At 55.1% G+C, this 18,306-nt stretch overlaps 1 protein-coding gene across 11 annotated transcripts in view, besides 3 other annotated features; it reads left to right on the top strand.

Moving 5' to 3' along the window:
- COL23A1 (collagen type XXIII alpha 1 chain) overlaps window positions 1-18,306 on the top strand; it is a 352,776-nt gene that overhangs the window by 327,660 nt on the left and 6,810 nt on the right. For 7 of the 11 annotated variants that reach the window (XM_011534691.3, XM_011534690.3, XM_011534688.3 and 4 more), the window contains 16 exons: window positions 482-517; window positions 986-1,012; window positions 2,987-3,013; window positions 5,167-5,211; window positions 5,806-5,868; window positions 6,337-6,381; window positions 7,708-7,785; window positions 10,137-10,190; window positions 12,629-12,673; window positions 13,528-13,617; window positions 14,480-14,542; window positions 14,903-14,959; window positions 15,182-15,208; window positions 16,281-16,343; window positions 16,427-16,480; window positions 16,766-16,792. In XM_011534691.3, coding sequence (XP_011532993.1) covers window positions 482-517; window positions 986-1,012; window positions 2,987-3,013; window positions 5,167-5,211; window positions 5,806-5,868; window positions 6,337-6,381; window positions 7,708-7,785; window positions 10,137-10,190; window positions 12,629-12,673; window positions 13,528-13,617; window positions 14,480-14,542; window positions 14,903-14,959; window positions 15,182-15,208; window positions 16,281-16,343; window positions 16,427-16,480; window positions 16,766-16,792 — 801 coding nt within the window. Of the gene's footprint in view, window positions 1-481; window positions 518-985; window positions 1,013-2,986; window positions 3,014-5,166; window positions 5,212-5,442; window positions 5,670-5,805; window positions 5,869-6,336; window positions 6,382-7,707; window positions 7,786-10,136; window positions 10,191-12,628; window positions 12,674-13,527; window positions 13,618-14,479; window positions 14,543-14,902; window positions 14,960-15,181; window positions 15,209-16,280; window positions 16,344-16,426; window positions 16,481-16,765; window positions 16,793-18,306 lie in introns of those variants that run through there. The other 4 variants (XM_047417869.1, XM_006714936.4, XM_006714935.4 and 1 more) reach the window with 3 other exon arrangements.
- Window positions 6,357-6,547: a silencer, noted in NCBI's record as "fragment chr5:177683188-177683378 (GRCh37/hg19 assembly coordinates)". NCBI's record gives its function as "represses an EF-1alpha promoter that drives an FKBP-Casp9 reporter gene in an ReSE screen in K562 erythroleukemia cells {active_cell/tissue: K562}" and the evidence as "EXISTENCE:reporter gene assay evidence [ECO:0000049][PMID:32094911]".
- Window positions 14,745-14,794: a silencer, noted in NCBI's record as "silent region_16720". NCBI's record gives its function as "represses an Ori minimal core promoter by ATAC-STARR-seq in GM12878 lymphoblastoid cells {active_cell/tissue: GM12878}" and the evidence as "EXISTENCE:reporter gene assay evidence [ECO:0000049][PMID:35858748]".
- Window positions 16,180-16,729: an enhancer, noted in NCBI's record as "H3K4me1 hESC enhancer chr5:177673006-177673555 (GRCh37/hg19 assembly coordinates)". NCBI's record gives its function as "activates a minimal SCP1, AML or CMV promoter by ChIP-STARR-seq in primed H9 embryonic stem cells {active_cell/tissue: H9 hESC(primed)}" and the evidence as "EXISTENCE:reporter gene assay evidence [ECO:0000049][PMID:30033119]".

The raw sequence follows: 18,306 nt of genomic DNA, 5'->3' as shown, positions 1-18,306 counted from the left end.
TCTGGGGACACTGTCTCTGCAGACCTTTATCAGCCCCTCCCCTCATGCTCCCCAATAGTATCTCAGCCTCAGCTTTCCTCCCAGGGTCTCCAAAGTCTAGAGGCCAGGCCCCATCCTACTACCCCTTTCCCTAACCCAGAATCCCCAGCCTGTCCTTCCCTTCATTGTGGAGCCCATGCCACCACCAGACTGCCACCAGGGTCCCCCCCCAGTCAAATGGATCCCCACCAAACTGCTGCCAGATTCCCCCAGGACAGCTGCTCAGTTGGCTCATCCATTACTTGTCACACCGGGCCAGTGGCTTCCCCAGCCTAACATTCTCATCTGTGGAGTGGGGACAGTGATACTCGCTCTTCAGGTTTGGCGAGAATGAGATAAGATAATGTACTTAGAGCCCCAGCCCGGGGTCTGGCCTGAGATTTGGGCTCAGTTCAATGTGACATCCTGCATCCTTCACTGCTGTCCCCTCACACTTCCGCAGGGCCCCAAAGGAGAGCCCGGACAAGACGGCGAGATGGTCAGTATCCAGGGCATTCCAGAGGCCTGGGCTGCTAGGATCATGGTTCCCAGACCTGGAAGCCCCTTTCCCACACACGCCGACAGCAGGGTCACGCGCACATGTTTATGTGTGTGCGCGCGCCTCTGCATGTACGTGTCTGCATGTGTGTGGACCCCTGTGCACCTGCCCCTCCAGCCACCCTGGGGAAATGGCTGGGTGAGGCACCAGCCAGGGGGATTCCAGTAGCTCCACATTCCTGTGCGGAGGCTGCGGTCCACTTGCCACCACCTGAGCCCTAATGCAGAAGCTGTCCCAGGCTTGAGGAGTCAGGCCCAGGGTGGGCAGCTCCAGCCTGCTTCTGACGGCAGCCCAGCCTCCTGCTCTCTGGGATTGGTGTCACCTTTTACAAAGCCAGGATGCTAAGAAGGACAGGCCCAGGAGCAGCCTCCAGTATGACATTTAACACCTTCTCTTCTCTTGTTCCAGGGCCCAAAGGGACCCCCAGGGCCCAAGGTGAGTACTCCTTATTCCCCATGCCCCTCCCCAGATCTGGTGGGATGGACTCCCCCACCACCACCTCCACTTCCTGTCTCTTCCCCCCACCCCTAGTGAAGCCAAGGCAGCAGGGTCAGGAGATCAAATTCCTGGACCATGGGCAAGTTACTGCATCTCTCTGGGCCTCAGTTTAGTCATCTGTTAAATGGAGGCACAGTAAACCTTTCCTGCCTTTTTCACACTGAGTTGCGAGGGTTGAATCATAAAACACATTAGCCTTTTGGTTTCAAATAGATTTTCCTTTTTTTTTTTAATTTTCTATTCTTTTGAGGCAGAGTCTCACTGTCGCCTAGGCTGGAATGCAGTGGCACGATCACAGCTCACTGCAGCCTCCACCTCCTGGGTTCAAACAATTCTCCTGCCTCAGCCTCCTGAGTAGCTGGGACAACAGGTGTGTGCCACCATGCCCAGCTAATTTTTTGTATTTTTAGGAGAAATGGGGTTTCACCATGTTGGCCAGGCTAGTCTCGAACTCCTGACCTCAGGTTATCCTCCCACCTCAGCCTCCCAAAGTGCTGGGATTACAGGTGTAAGCCACTGTACCTGGCCCAAATAGATTTTATTTTTAGAACAGTTTTTGTTTCACAACAAAACTAAACAGAAAGTACAGAATTTCCATATCCCCCTCCCCCGCTGTGGACATCCCCCACTTGCTACAGATGACCCACCTGTGTGGACAGACCACCATCACCCAGATGCCGTCGTTTACATTAGGGTTCACTCTTGCTGTGGTACACTCTGGATTCGGACAAGTGTGTGTTGACAAGTATCCACCACTGTGGTGTCATGGAGTATTTACCCTGCCCTAAACATGCTCTGTTCTCCGCCTGTTCATCCCTCGTTCTCCCTAGCCCCTGACACCACTGATCTTTTATCTTTTTTTTTGAGATGGAGTCTTGCTCTTGTCGCCCAGGCTGGAGTGCAATGGCACAATCTCAGCCCACTGCAACCTCTGCCTCCTGGTTTCAAGTGATTCTTCTGCTTCAGCCTCTCAAGTACCTGGGATTACAGGCGTGCGCCACCACACCTGGCTAATTTTGTATTTTTAGTAGAGATGGGGTTTCACCATGTTGGTCAGGCTGGCCTCGAACTTCTGACCTCAGGTGATCCACCCACCTCAGCCTCCCAAAGTGCTAGGATTACAGGCATGAGCCACCGTGCCCGGCCACCACTGATCTCTTTTCACTGTCTCCATAGTTTTGCCTTTCCCAGAGTGTCATCTAGTTGGAATCAGACAGTGTGTGGCCTTTTCAGATTGGCTCCTTTCACTTAGTAATACACATTGACCTTTCATCCATGTCTTTTCATGGCTTGACAGCTCATTCCTTTCTAGCACTGAATGATAGTCCATGTCTGGGTTTATTATTTATTGAATGATAAGCCACAGTTTATTTACCCACTCACCGACTGAAGGACATGTTGGCTGCTTCCAGGTTTTGGCAGTTTTGAGTAAAGCTGATGTCAGCGTCCATGTGCAGGTTTTCACGTGGATGTGGTTTCCCACCATGTTAGCTTGTCCAGCCTCTGCAGATGCCAGCTCTTTCATTTTCGCCCTCTTTGGGGAGGGTGTGGGTGGGGAGGCGGGCTCTGGTCCTCGCTGACGGAGACGGAGCCTCTGGCCTGAGGAGGAAGGATGGGAAAGAGCTTGCTTAGCCAGCGCCTCATCCTCCAAAACCCTCTGAGACGGCAGGAGTCACCTCTCCACTTTCAAGAACAGTGCCTTGCCCAGGGTCATTGAGCTTGGGAGTGAGTGGCTCAGAAGTGGAATTCAAGACTGTCCGCCGCAGCTCTCTGAAGCATTCAGGGGTCTCTGGGCTGGCCCTGGGCACGGGTCATCAGTGCCACTTCTACCCGAGGAACAAGAGGTCCGGGGTCCGGGCCACTCTCCTATGGTTTTGACCTTGCTCTTGAACCCCCCATTGCCTCCCCCAGGGTGAGCCTGGAGTACCTGGAAAGAAGGTGAGAGGGGCCAATGGAGGAGCTTCCGGGTCAGTGTTGGGAAGTGGCTGGAGAGAAGGGCAGGGGCTGGGACGGAATGGGGATGGGGATGGGGACGGGATGGGCTGGGAGCCAACCCACAGGGAAGGCGGCCTTCTCTCCACCAGCCCTGAGCCCTCACTGCAGGTGGCTGCCCTGTCCTCGCTCTCCCTGAGGCCAGAATTCATTTCATTCATTCATTTATTCACTCACTCATTCTTTCCCTTCCTCGAACACATGAAATTCCTGCCCACTTCAGGGCTGGGGGGCACTAGTTCTCAAAGTGTGGTCCTGGGGCCCACCAGACCCACTGAATCAGAGACTCTGGGATGGGGCCAGAGTTTGTTTGACCAGCCCCTGGTGCCACTGATGTGAGCTCAAGCTTGAAAACACTGAATGAGCATTATCCTCCCCGGCCTCTTCTCCTGGGCCAGCCTCCTCCTTCACCTCATTCAGGTCTCAGCAAAACCCTCCTCCAAGGCCAGCAGGCACACTGGCTCATGCCTGCAATCCCAGCACTTTAGGGGGCCAAGACAGAAGGATCACTTGAGATCAGGAGTTCAAGACCAGCCTGGCCAACATGATGAAACCCCATCTCTCCTAAAAATCCAAAAATAAATTAGCCAGGCGTGGTCACAGGCACCTATAATCCCAGCTACTCTGGAGGCTGAGGCTGGAGAATCACTTGAACCCAGGAAGCGAAGGTTGCAGTGAGCTGAGATTGCGCCACTGCACTCCAACCTGCTGGGCGACAGAGTGAGACTCGTCTCAAAAAAAAAAAAAAAAAAAGACCACCCTGGACAATACACCAAGACCTCATCTCTACTAAAAATCAAAAATATTAGCCAGGTGCAGTGGCATGCATCTGTAGTCCCAGCTACTTCCAAGGCTGAGGTGGGAGGATCGCTTGAGCCCAGGAGGTTGAGGCTGTAGTAAGCTATGATTGTGCCACTGCACTCCAGCCTGGATAACAGCGCGAGACCTTGTCTCAAAAACCAAAAAAAACCAGACCCAGAGCGGTGGCTGACGCCTGTAATCCCAGCACTCTGGGAGGCCGAGGCAGGCTGATCACGAGGTCAGGAGATAGAGACCATCCTGGCTAACGCGGTGAAACCCCATCTCTACTAAAAATACAAAAAATTAGCCGGGCGTGGTGGCGGGCGCCTGTAGTCCCAGCTACTTGGGATGCTGAGACAGGAGAATGGCGTGAACCCGGAGGCAGAGCTCACAGTGAGCCGAGATTGTGCCACTGCACTCCAACCTGGGCGACAGAGTGAGACTCACCTTACAAAAAAAAAAAAAAAAAAACCTCTCCCATCTTCCAGGAGACCTTCCCTGGCCACCTGCTGAAACAAGCCCTCCCTGCAGTCCCTCACCACCAGGCCATCCTCTTCTCTTCTCCACTTCCTGACATGGTGCCTAGAATTGATTTGCATGTGTATATATATATATATATATATATATATTTTAAGACAGGATCTCACTCTGTCACCCAAGCTGTGATGCAGTGGCATGATCACAGCTCCCTGCAGCCTCAGGCAGTTCTCCCACCTCAGCCTCTCAAATAGCTGGGACTACAGGCATGTGCCACCATGCCCGGCTAATTTTTTATTTTCTGGTTTTTGTAGAGATGGAGTCTTGCCCTGTTGCCCAGGCTGGAGTGCAGTGGCTGTTCACAGGTGCCATCATGGGGCACTACAGCCACAAACTCCTGGGCTCAAGCAGTCTTCCCGCCTTGACCTACCAGAGTGCTGGGATTAAGGCGTGAGCCACAGTGCCAGCCAACCTCGTATTTATTTGAATATTTTCCTTGGCCTCCTCTGACCCCACCTGAGCAGGGACCTCAGCTGCCTGGCCCACAGGGGGAATGAATGGATGAATGTACCCTCATTCACCTGCCCATCCGTTCTTTCTGCAAATGCCAGCCCTGGGCTGGTGGGAACAGGGGACACACAGAGATGGGTCTGACCCCACACCTGCCCTGGAGGGGCAAGGAGGGTGGGGAGGAGCTGCCTGGTACCATGTGCCAGTGCAGATGCCAGGAGCAGACTGGTGTGCTGGGAAGTCCAGAGGAGGGAGGGGCCCACTGGCCACCCGAGGGTCTGACCGGCAAGCCCCAGGTGTCCTCTCCTCAGGGCGACGATGGGACACCAAGCCAGCCTGGACCACCAGGGCCCAAGGTGAGTATCTGCCCCTCCTCTCGTGGCCCCCTGCCCCCACCTCCCATGGTTCCCATCTACCTGGTGAAGTCCCTACCCTGGACCTTTGGCACCACGGGTTCCTAGGCCAGTGCCCAGCGCAGGCCGGAGAGAGGCAGAGGAAGGCCGCGGCCCCACCACACAACAGGCCCAGCGTCTCACCCGGGCCATGTGCCTCCCTCACTCCCTCAAGCCCTCTTGTTTCCATCTTAGGGGGCCTCACTCTCTGCCCTGTCCCCAAGCCAGGAACTGGGTGTCATCCTCATGCCTTGCTCCCCCAACCCCTCGCAACAGCCACCAAATCCTGGCCAGCCAGTCTCCAAAATGTCCCTTGAGCCCCTGCGCTGCCCCAAGTAAGTGCCAAGGCCCACACCAGAAGGTGGCGGCCGTGGTCCTGAGTCCCCTGGGCTAGGGAGAGGCCTGAGGTCCATCCGCCCACACCCCCCATGGACTCAGTAACAATTTGCCAGGAGGCCTAATCGCGAGGCTTCAGGCAACCCCGAGGCACGCCCCCCTCCAAGGCACCCGCCACGTGCCGTCTCACACTTGCTCTCACTGCAGCTGTGTCTGTTTCAGGGCGAGCCAGGGAGCATGGGGCCTCGGGGAGAGAACGGTGTGGACGGTGCCCCAGGACCGAAGGTGACATGAGAGCTCTCTGCTCTGGCGCCTGCGGGCCCCGCTCAGACCTCCACCCAGTCGGGAGTGGGAGATGTGGTTTCAGCTCTCATTTGCCCTTTTAAGTCCCAGGAGGGCCTGACCCAGGGGTCTCCCTCAGCACTCTCAGAAGCTGGTGTGGGGGCAGCGGTGGTGAATCTGGGTGAGTGGCAAGGCCTCCACTGGTGCCCAGCTTTGTGGCCAACTCACCATGCAGCCTCAGGCTCCTGGACACCAGCGTCCCCATCTCTATACGAAGTGATGTCAGAGGAGGGTCTCGCAGGCCCCTGGAGGAGCCCCGTTCCTGGAGTGCTGTTCTCATACATTTGGCTATTAGGGTTCCAGCACTCGGGCCCTGGGCCCTCCTGGGAAGAGGGGACTGGGGGCAGGGTCGTGGGAGGTGTGTTTTGGCTTCACAGCTGCACCTCTGGCTGCAAATGCATGTCTCCACAGGGGGAGCCTGGCCACCGAGGCACGGATGGAGCTGCAGGGCCCCGGGTAAGCTGCCGCCCCTCAGGCGAGGCCTCAGGGATGAGATCTAGGGGCCCCATAGCTTCAGAAGCCCCTGTCCCCACAGAGACCCCAGAGGAGCAGTGGAGCTACAGGAACTGGGAGTATTTTACTTTTTAAACTCATTTATTCGTGATTTTTGAAAATCCAGAGTACATGCTTTTTTGGGGTAAAATGTTCAAATATGGAGGTACAAAAATAAGAGTCCTGACCTGCTATTATGAAGCCAGATCTCTCTCGGTCCCCTCAAGCGCATGTCCACCTAAATTCCTTTCTTTATGTATTCAGACACAGGTCCTCTGTTTGTCGTATGCCTGATCCTGCCACAGTGGGCCAGGCCTTGCCTTTTCCCCACCCCACAGGGAGGTTTGTCCCTGCCACCAGGAGCACAGCACCCCAGCCTGCCCCAGATCTTTTGTGACCAGCCCCTATCAACATACCTTACCTTTAGGGTGACGTCCGGGATCCTGGCCTCGGCTCTGTCTCCTCATGCTCCCAGAGGCTGGCTTCTTCCTCCAAAAAAAATGGATCTGAGCCCCCGCCTGGCTGTGCAGGTGGTGGGGAGCGGGAGGGGGTTGGATTAGGCAGCCAGTGAGCCAGGCAGTTCTGGGCAGGCTGTGACTGGGGACGGGGGAGGGCTGGCAAATGAGGCCCAAGCAAGGGTCTCCAGCCTGCACAAGGGATAGGCTCGGGTCTGGACCAAAGTGCTCCCCAGCCTTCACTGTACCCCAAGCAAAGAGCAGCCTGGGTGGGGAAGTGAGGTTCACAAGGGAAGGGCTGGCCAGCAGCCATGCGTGCACGTGTGAGTGTGCACAATGAGTGTGCAGCATATGGACATGGGCATGCTGACATGCACCTGTAACCAGGCGGGAATAGGCGTGTGGGTGCTTGGCGTGTGCAGCCGCTCCCAGAGGCTGGGAAATGGAGGCACGGGGGCCAGATCCAGCCTGCTCATGTCTTTGTGTTTTGGAGGGTTTGGGGCTTTTCTGTTTGTTGCCAACATTGAAAAATCTGAAGAGCGTCACATCAAAATCAGGCTTTCCATTTGCCCCCGAGAACTCAGGGGTCAGGCCTGAATGCCCACGTGAGGGCAATTACAGCCGCCCCTCAGACCAGGTGGAAACAGGTCTCTCAGCTGGCCACAGGGCCTGCCTCCCGTTCCCTCCATCCACCCTGGGGAGGGGCATGCGTGCAGCCTGGGTGACGAGGCTCTTCCATTGCTTTCTCTCTGGATGTGATGCAGGGACAGCTGCCACTTCACCTCCAACTCAGTGTAGCTCTTCCCTGAAATTCTTACTCTTCTTCCTGCCTCAGGGTGCCCCAGGCCTCAAGGGCGAGCAGGGAGACACAGTGGTGATCGACTATGATGGCAGGATCTTGGATGCCCTCAAGGTAGTGTTCCTGGTGGGACCAGGATGTGCCTTAGATACGATTTTTCCTTAGGGAATAATCACTCCCTTTGTGATTAATCCTGCACTTTTTTACACAAGGGACCAGAGGCAGCTTAGCACAAAGACCCCGGCTGTTACTAGGCACCCAATGTGGAAATCAGGGCTATGTTGAGACCCGCCTCAGAGAGCCCCTGTGAATGTGGCCCACGTGGCCCCGAGCTCCCTAGAGGCCAAGTCAAAAAGGGAAGCTCCCCACTCAGGGGCAGGAGGCAGAGTATTTCCTGGGGTCTGTTCCCACCGGTGTCTCCTGGGACCTTCCCAGAGGACACTGGCTGGAGGGCTAGGTCTCCTAATGATGCCATGGGGAGGATGAGAGTGGCAAGCTCTGCCCCCAGAGCCTTGGGAGATATGTGACCTCCGAGCCCAGTCGCTGGTAAACTTGGGACTTACCACCAGTGGAGAGAGGCACTGGGTGCCAGCAGCTCATGGGTACCCCAGAAGGAAAGTGGGTGAGGAAGGAGTGGTCACCAGAGACCAGACTGGGAAGGGGGCCCTGGCCCCACCTGAACATCATTTCCAGTTATCTCCCACAGGCTTTGGGGAAGTACAAGTTGGCAGTAACTGTGGCACCCACCCCCAGGCATGCATGGTGTGGCGTGGCGTGGCGTGGTGTGGCGTGGCATGGCCCAGACGGCAGGCACATGCATGATGTGTCCCAGGCTGACCTAGCCTTGTGGGAGAAGCCCTGTGAGTGCAGGGAGTTGGGAGATGGACTTCGTTTTGTTTTTGTTTTTGAGATGGAGATTCACTCTTGTCGCCCAGGCTGGGTGTGATCTCGGCTCACTGCAACCTCCTCCTCCCAGGTTCAAGCAATTCTCCTGCCTCAGCCTCCCAAGTAGCTGGGACTACAGGCATGCGCCACCACACCTGGCTAATTTTTATATTTTTAGTAGAGACGGGGTTTCACCATGTTGGCCGGGCTGGTCTCAAACTCCTGACCTCAAGTGATCCTGCCACCTCAGCCTCCCAAAGTGCTGGGATTATAGGCGTGAGCCACCACGCCCAGCCAGAGATGGACTTTGGATGCCAGACTGAGATGCCGACTCAGTTTGATGGGCAGCGGGCAGCCATAGTCCATGCAGGGCATGATGTTAAAAAAATAAAAACACGGCCGGGCGCGGCGGCTCCCGCCTGTGATCCCAGCACTTTGGGAGCCCGAGGCAGGTGGATCACGAGGTGAGGAGTTCGAGACCAGCATGGCCAACATAGTGAAACCGCGTCTCTCCTAAAAATACAAAAATTAGCCGGGCATGGTGGTGCGCGCCTGTAGTCTCAGCTACTCGGGAGGCTGAGGCAGGAGAATCACTTGAACCCGGGAGGCAGAGGTTGTGGTGAACTGAGATCGCACCTCTGCACTCCAGGCTGGGCAACAGAGGGAGACTCCATCTCAAAAATAAAAAAAAAATAAAAAATAAAAACATATTGGGGGAAGGCTAGCTAGGGAATGATATGGACAGTGAATGAAAGCAGGTGTTGGAGCAGGGAGCAGGGGGACCCCAGGCAGGGAGGTCCTGGGCCTGGGCCTGGGGGAGGGTAGATAAGATGGAGGCCAGGGACATCTCAATGGGACACCAACAAGAAGGGCACAGGATAGGGAGGTGGGAGGGGAGAGACCTAGAGCTTCCGGGGCAGGGGTGGGGCAGGGGCTGGGCAGGGTGCAGTTTTTCAGAAGGGAGGGGAGGAGTGTGGAGGCTGAGCAGGGGGCCAGCTGGGCCCTGGTGGCAGGTAGCCTGCAGAAAGCCTGGATCAGGACAGGAGCTTGAGAGTGGGGTCGGACCTGGAAACACTGGAGACCCCACCCCTACCTGCGAGACTAAGGAACTCCCTAGGCCCAGCAGATGGCAGGCAGCAGAGCCAGAAGGTCAGAGAGCTCACAGGACAGTCAGAGACGGTGGTGCTGGGCCACCATTGGGGATGTCATTCTTGGCAGGCCTTGAATGCCAGCAGGGGATTTAAGCTTGCTTTGAGAGGCAATAGGGAGCCAAAGCAAGATCTTGAGCAGGGGAACATCGTGAAGAAATCTGGATTGGGGCAGAGGGCCGTCCATGGCAGCAGACACTGGTGTCTTGTCAAATGCTGGGTGTCACCTCCTGGCCTCCCCCAAGCCTGGGAGGCCAGATAAAGCCTTGCACAGTGTGGCCTGACCTGACTGGGGAAGAAGCAGTCCCCAAGGACCCTGCCCCTGCTCTGCTCAGCTGGACGGGGACTTGATTCCAGGTGGGGAGCTGGATGGGTAGCGAAGGGAGGCCCTGCCTAACCCATGACACTGACCGGCTTCACTCTCACACACAGGGGCCTCCCGGACCACAGGGGCCCCCAGGGCCACCAGGGATCCCTGGAGCCAAGGTCAGTGCAGATGCAGCTATGTGGTCCCCCAAGCATTTGTCTCCAGGGCCCACCTCCCTCTTCCTGTCTGCTCTGTGACCCTGTTCCACTTCCCTCCGGGTGTCCTGGCCTGGCTTCCGGGAGCTCAGAGAACGGGCCTGGGCTCCCAGGCTGAGTGCCTTCTTCCTGGGCTCGATCTACTCTGGGAGATTTCCCTGGGAAGCCTTATTCATACATTTAAACTGAAAATTCATGCAGCTATAAAAAGGAATGAAATCACGTCCTTTACAGCTACATGGATGCAGCCAGAGGCCATTATCCTAAGTGAATTAATACAGAAAAGAAAATGGGCTGGGCGTGGTGGCTCACACCTGTAAATCCCAGCACTTTGGGAGGCCGAGGCAGGTGGATCACCTGAGGTCAGGAGTTTGAGACCAGCCTGGCCAACATGGTGAAACTCTGTCTCTACTAAAAATACAAAAAATTAGCCGGGCGTGGTGGCACATGCCTGTAATCCCAGCTACTTGAGAGGCTGAGGCAGGAGAATCGCTTGAACCTGGGAGGCAGAGGTCGCAATGAGCCAAGATTGCGCCACTGAACTCCAGCCTGGGCAACAAGAGCAAAACTCTGTCTCAAAATAAAAAAAAAAAAAAAAGAAAAGAAAATGAAAGAGAGAGAAAGAAAGAAAAGAAAAGAAAACCACATACTGCATGTTCTCACTTAAAAGTGGAAGCTAAACATTGGGTACACACAGACACAAAGATGGGAATAATAAATACTGGAGATTCCAAAAGGGAGGAGCAGCTATGTGGTCCCCCAAGCATTTGTCTTATAGCTGCATGAGGACAAGGGTTGAAAAACTACCTATCAGGTGCTATGTTCACCCCTTGGGTGACAGAATCATTAGAAGCCCAAACCTCAGCATCGTGCAATCCCATGTGACAACCCTGCCCGTGTACCCCCTGAATCTAAAACTTTTTTTAAAGCTATAAATTTTCCTATAAGCATATCTGCTTTAGCTGCATCCTACAAACCTTGATAAGTTGAATTTTATTTTTATTCAGTTCAACATAATTTCTAAGCTCTCTTTTGATTTATTCATGGATTATTTAGAGAATACTTGGGGATTTAGAAATACTTGGAGATTTTTTTCCAGGTATCTTGCTTTTTTGTTTTAGTTTTTTTCATATTTAATGTATCCAGCTGACCAGATATTTTATTAATTTCTTATTTAATTATCTTGCGGCCGGGCACGGTGGCTCACGCCTGTAATCTCAGCACTTTGGGAGGTGGAGGCGGGTGGATCACAAGGTCAGGAGTTCAAGACCAGCCTGGCCAATATGGTGAAACACTGTCTCTACTAAAAATACAAAAATCAACTGGGTGTGGTTGTGCGCACTTGTAATCCCAGCTACTTGGGAGGCTGAGGCAGAAGAATTGTTTGAAACCAGCAGGCGGAGCTTGTAGTGAGTCGAGGTTGTGCCACTGCACTCTAGCCTGGGAGACATAGCAAGACTCTGTCTCAAAAAAAAAAAAAAATTATCTTGCGATTAGAGAACATACTCTTTTTTTTTTTTTTTTTTTTTGAGACGGAGTCTTGCTCTTTTGCCCAGGCTGGAGTGCAGTGGCACCATCTCAGCTCACTGCAACCTGTCTCCCGGGTTCAAGCAATTCTCCTGCCTCTGCCTCCCAAGTAGCTGGTATTACAGGCCTGTGCCACCAAGCCCAGCTAATTTTTATATTTTTAGTAGAGGGGGGTTTCACCATGTTAGCCAGGCTGTCTCAAACTCCTGACCTCAGGTGATCCACCCACCTCAGCCTCCCAGAGTGCTGGGATTACAGGTGTGAACCACCATGCCCAGCCAAAACATATTCTTTTTAATACAATATTGATCTTTTTAATGTATTAAAACTTGTTTTAGAGTCAAAGTGTTCTTTCTTGTTGAATGTTTTATATGCACACAAATTAAATGTATATTTAGCTGCTGTTGGGGGTAGTGTTTTATAAATATCCACCAGCTAAAAATAAAGAACTGAAAACCCAGCCCCTGTGACAGCACACCAGTCTGGCAGGTGGACAGCTTGCACACCCTGTGGCCTGCACCATTCGTTTGCATCCTGCCCATTTATCTCAAGAGAAAGAGCCAACAACTTTGAAGTCAGGCAGATCTGGTCCCGGCATCGTTGTTCCTGGGCTCTGTGACCTGAAGCAAGTCACTTAACCCTCCAAGCCTCAGCGCCCGAATCTGTGACATAACAACTTACAGGTGATAGCCATGGGCTACATCTGCTCGTGATGGGCTGAGGAAACAGAGGAGGCGGTGGGTCCTGGCACAGCTAGAGGTCCAACTGCAAAGACCCACCCTGGGCCGGGTGCACAGTGTGTCCTGGCCCTCTGGCTGCTGACACCTCTTTAGGAAAGGAAGGCATAACCCCTCTTGCCATCTCTTCCCTTCCAGGGCGAGCTTGGATTGCCCGGTGCCCCAGGAATCGATGGAGAGAAGGTCTCTGGGCCTTTCATTTCCTTGGTGATGCCAGTGCCTGGTATTGGGCTCTGTGTGTGTGTGTGTGTGTGTGTGCGTGTGCATGTGTGCACAGAGTTAGAGAAACACCATGTGTGAGAAAATCAAAAATCATGGATTTTGGCACCAGGCTGCCTGTGTGCAAACCCTGGTCTGCCCTCCGGCCCTGGGCAAGTTGCCTGCTCTCAGGCAGGGCTGAGTAACTCTGTGTATGGAGAACACTCAGTGCAGTGCCTGGCATGTGGTGAAAAGCCACAAAGGCTAAGAGCATTGTAGGTATTGCCCCAATTCGAGAGAGAGAGAGAGAGAGAGAGAGAGAGAGAGAGTGTGTGTGTGTGTGTGTGTGTGTGTGTGTGTGTTATCCTATACAGACGTAAGCATATTCGTGGGGTCACTTGCTATTCGAGGGTGAGTCTTTCCCACTGGGTCCGCAGTGTGTGTCTCATCCTGGACATAATGTAATTGGTTGAATGGAGGGATTCGGTGGCTGGAAGAGTTTGTGGGGGTGGGGAGTCCCACCACTAGCTTCTGAGATGTGAGCACAGAGCTGGCCCCATGAGTGCCCCCAGAGGGGCAGCTCCAGGCTCACATGATCCACCCATCTGCCCCGGCCCCTGCCCTGCGGTGCCCACACCCGGATGCAATGAGCCAGGAGTGGCGTGCCCTAGCCCCACACCCACTGCATCCGGGTGAGGCTCCCAGCCACTGTGGCTGGAGGTGGGGACCCACAAAGAGAAAGTGGGGCCCTAGCATGAACTAAGCTCTGGGGACCTGCTGGGGGGAGAAGGGAGGGGACCTCCTGAGCCCCACTCATCCCTTGTGCTTATGGCTTTCAGGGCCCCAAAGGACAGAAAGGAGACCCAGGAGAGCCTGGGCCAGCAGGACTCAAAGGGGAAGCAGGCGAGATGGGCTTGTCCGGCCTCCCGGTATGTGGCTGGGTTGGGCCACACATTACGCCTCCTGTGTGGAAGCCCTGAGGTGACTGTGTGCCCCCCGTGCTGTGGGGAGGCCAGGGCGTGACCCTGACAGCCCCTGCGGTCTCAGTGCCCAGCCGGCCGGGGACACTCTAGGCTCTGGGCCAGCGCTGTCCTCCTCTCTCCCGGCCTCCACTTCCTCGTCTGGAAGAAGCCTTCCACCTGCCTCAGATGGCAGCTAAAATCAGGAGCTGTGGCCATGGGAGCGCGTTGGCCAGGTGGTTATGCCACGTGCTCTGACCTAAACTGCCCAAGTTTGCATCCAGCTCCGTCCCGGCTGACTCTGGAACCCTGGGCGAGCAACCTAACCTCCTGGGGCCTCGGTTTCCTCACCTCCAAAGTGGGGGTGATCATTCCCCTCCCTCAAGGGCATGCGTGGCTGGGCTGACAGTGGTGGCTGGCACACAGCAAATGCCCACTGTTGTCCTCATGATTTTCGTTGCTTTTGTGGCCCGACTGGAAGAGCCACCAGCTGTTACGCCACCACTGGGACACTTCCAGTGTCCATCCCTGATGGTCACTGGGCTAGAGGGGGCACTGGGGTTTGACCCCGGGGTCTTTGCTTCACAGCCCCCGGTTGCTCCCTGCACCCCAGGAAAACAATGTGTGCGGCTGCTCGTGTGCTTTCTAAAGCCCACACTGCCCACCACCCGGGGCGTGGCACATGGATGTAGGGAAAACTTTTCAGTTGCAACAGCTAACTGATGACTGCTCTCAGGAGCCACATGGGGGAAGGAAGGGAGGTCACTAAGCACCGTGGGTGGTGATACAGGTGCTGGACACAAAGGACTCACAGGCCATTGCCGTCCTGCAGGGCGCTGACGGCCTCAAGGGGGAGAAGGGGGAGTCGGCGTCTGACAGCCTACAGGAGAGCCTGGTAAGGGGGTATGGGGGGGTCAGGGCTTCCCCCAACACCCAGTCCAGGCTGGGTGGGGACCCTGAGCCTTGGGACAAAAAGGCCACCTGGCCTGAGCAAACCCAGGGCAGTAGGGGAGGGAGAGTAAGGGGAGCGAGACCCCTCTGAGAACAGAGTCTCACCATGTCTCCCAGGCTGGAGTGCAGTGGCACAACCTCGGCTCACTATAAGCTCCGCAGACCAGCTGCCACCTGCTCACCAGACTCTGCCCTCTGGGGGGCAGGAAGGAGACTCTCGATCCAGCAGTGTGCGATGAGCTCGGGTGCGGGTAGGTGAGGGTGACAGGCGGTGGGTGACTAACCTGTCTCTCACCCTCCCTAGGCTCAGCTCATAGTGGAGCCAGGGCCCCCTGGCCCCCCTGGCCCCCCAGGCCCGATGGTAAGGACGGTTTGCTTTGGTTTGGTTTGAAGCAGCCAGGAAACCAAGAGGCGGGGTGGGGGCTAGGTCCCAGAGCCATGACCCAGGAGAGAGCGGGCTTCTTCGTTCAGGGAGGGGCACATGGGCAGAGGGCAGAGCCCAGGACAGGGCCCCAGGGGCCAGTGAGTGGCCACTGCAAGAGGGTCCGGAGCCAGCCTTCTTATCTGCTTCCTCCTCCTGCAGGGCCTCCAGGGAATCCAGGGTCCCAAGGTGAGTGGGCACAGACCCCTCTACTGGCCTCAGACTCACCGTCTGGGCAGTTTCCAAGAGCCTTGCCAATGGGCAAAGCAAAGGGCCTGACGCTCCGCCCTGGCCCATCCCTGAGTCTTCCCAGCGCCTGAACGTCCCAAGTCCCCAGGGCATAACCTCCCCGATGTCGTTGAGGCCAATGCCCCCCTCTCCACCCTTGAGGCTCTCCTCTCCCACTTTCTCCCTCTGCCCGGGACCCCAGTCTGTCCCTCTCTCCTCCTCAGGTCCACCACCGTTTCCACTGCTTGTCCCCTTCTCCTTTGTCTGTGCCTGTCAGTTCCTTGCACTGTCCCCACCTCTCCCCATCCCAGCCCGCCCCACACACATCTGTCTCTCAGCTGCCACAGTCTAAGCACAAAGTCTTGGGCTTGGTGTATATTACATGATGGCGTGTTCCCTGCTCTTACGTTAAGTCCTCGAGTGTGGCCTGCCTGCATGCCCTGCCCCAGGGAGGCAGACACAGAAGGGGAGGCCACCTGGCCTCACTCCTTGTCACACCACCCTCCTGGCGTGAGCAAATCTCTGCTTCCCCAGCTCAGAGGCCAGATGTGGGACTGAGAATCGTGGAAGCCCAGGCCCGAGCCTGCAGCCCCACCAGGTGCTCTGCTTCTGGTTCTGCTTTCTCTTAAGGCCACCACAGTTCATGTTTCAAAGAGGCAGCTGCTATCAGGACAGGGTCCAAGGCTTGCCGTAGAAGCCTGATGGGGACCCAGCTCTGCTGCCTCCCGCTGTGTGGCTGGGCCTGTCCCCCCCCCCCCGCCCCCCGTCTGCACCTGCTTTCCTCATCTTTGGAATGGGTGTGACCGTAATCACCTTCCATGGGGCTGAGGGAGCCTGTTCTGGAAAAGGCGCAATGCGCATGGCCAGAGCTCCTCCTGATCACCCTCACCAGGGAGTAAGCTGGGGCCAGGCCTGGGGGAGCCTCGATCTGTTCCTCTGTCCACATCCCAGCTCCCTTGCAGTCTCCAAGCTTGCCTGTCCTACTGTCTGTCTAACCCCTTCCCCTTGACTGATTTCCCTCCTTTGCCTCCAGGGCTTGGATGGAGCAAAGGGAGAGAAGGGTGCGTCGGGTGAGAGAGGCCCCAGCGGCCTGCCTGTGAGTCTCACAAGCGTTGTTTGTCCCAAAGGTGTTAATTCCTGTCACTAGCATGCCTCTTGACTCATTCCTTTTCTATCCAGGGGCCAGTTGGCCCACCGGGCCTTATTGGGCTGCCAGGAACCAAAGGAGAGAAGGTAACCGCCTCATTCGGAACTCCCTCTCCAACCGTGGCCACCTGGTCATGGTGGCGCTCAGCCCGGGGACCCCAACCCTGTACCTCACTGGGTCCCTGCACTTCGCAGGGCCAGAGTTCAGGCTCTGTGGATGCCAGGTCTGTCCTGGCCTCCATCTATGCCTGCGTGGTTGGTGGGTCTCCTTGCCCCCATGTCTGTGGCCAACCCACAGGGCTGGACTTCCCAGCAGCTGTGCTCCCAGCACCCCTCCCCAACCCCTCTCACCCACTCTGTGTCTCTCCTCAGGGCAGACCCGGGGAGCCAGGACTAGATGTAAGTGTCTTATCATCACTTTGAGTAATTGGGTGCCTCTTGTGTGTATCTTCTGCCCTCATGCAGTAACCTGATCTGGCTACTCAAGTGTGACCCCTTTCCCCAGGGCTGGGACTGCAACTGACTGGTTCCCCCTGTGTCCCCATTGCCAAGTCCAGTGCACGACCCAGAGTAGGTCCTTTGTGGATAGATGAATGGATTGTTGATGGATGGATAAATGGATGGATACATTGGTAGATGGAGGATGGATGGACAATGGAGGATGAATCGATGGATGGATGAATGCATAATGCAGGATTGATGGATGGATGGATAAATGGATGGATGGGTGGATGGATGGGTGAATGGATGGATGAATGAATGGATGGATGGGTGAATGGATGGATGGGTGAATGGATGGATGGGTGATGGATGAGTGGATGATGGGTGGGTGGATGATGGGTGGGTGGATGATGAATGGATGATGGATGGATGGGTGGGTGGATGGATAATGGAAGAATGATGGATGAATGGATGGAGGATTGAATGGACTCATCCATCCATTCATCTATCTATCCACTATGGATGGATGGATGGATGGATGGATAATAGATGAATGATGGATGGATGGATGGATGGATGGATGGATGGATGGATGGATGATGATGGCAGTGGAGGGATGGATGGATGGATGATGGATGATAGATGATGAGTGGATGGGTGGGTGGATGGATGGATGGATGGATGATAGATGATGAGTGAATGGATGGATGATGATGGCAGTGGAGGGATGGAGGGATGGACGGATGGATGGATGATAGATGATGAGTGGATGGATGGATGATGATGGCAGTGGAGGGATGGATGGACGGATGGATGGATGATAGATGATGAGTGGATGGATGGATGGATGATAGATGATGAGTGGATGGATGGATGATGATGGCAGTGGAGGGATGGATGGATGGATGGATGATAGATGATGAGTGGATGGATGGATGATGATGGCAGTGGAGGGATGGATGGATGGATGGATGATGCATTGTAGCAAGGAAGTGAAGAGAGCAGTGAGGAGCCTGTTGCAATATCCTGGTGACAGATAATAGGGCTTTAGCTAGAGCAGTAATTTGAGAAGAAGAGGAAGGGAAGTATTAGCCCAGGCTGATTATGTCAAGTCTCTTCTGGTAGCATACATAGAAAACATAGTTTAAACTGGCTTAAAATTACTCATAACTGAAAAATCTGGAGGTTCAACACATGGATCCAGGGCTCAACTGTGTCAACACAACTCAGCCTTTCACCCTGTCTTGTCTGCTTTCCCTGTGGAAATCAAGTTCCACGTGGTGGTGAGGTAAAGCCAGCAGCTCGAGACCAGCATCCTGCCAGGCCCAAACTAAGAAGAAAGAAAATTTGACTCCAGAGTAGAACTCCAGTGTTCTACAGGAAGTTTCATGGGCTCTCCCTGGTCCCAGTTAGGTCAACGCTGAACTGTCACTTAGCCATAGGAATGCAGTGCCCTGACTAGTGAGACCATG

Source organism: Homo sapiens, chromosome 5 (genome assembly GCF_000001405.40).
Source record: "Homo sapiens chromosome 5, GRCh38.p14 Primary Assembly".
Classification (NCBI taxonomy): Eukaryota; Metazoa; Chordata; class Mammalia; order Primates; family Hominidae; genus Homo; species Homo sapiens.
This window is presented reverse-complemented; position numbering and strand designations above follow the sequence as displayed.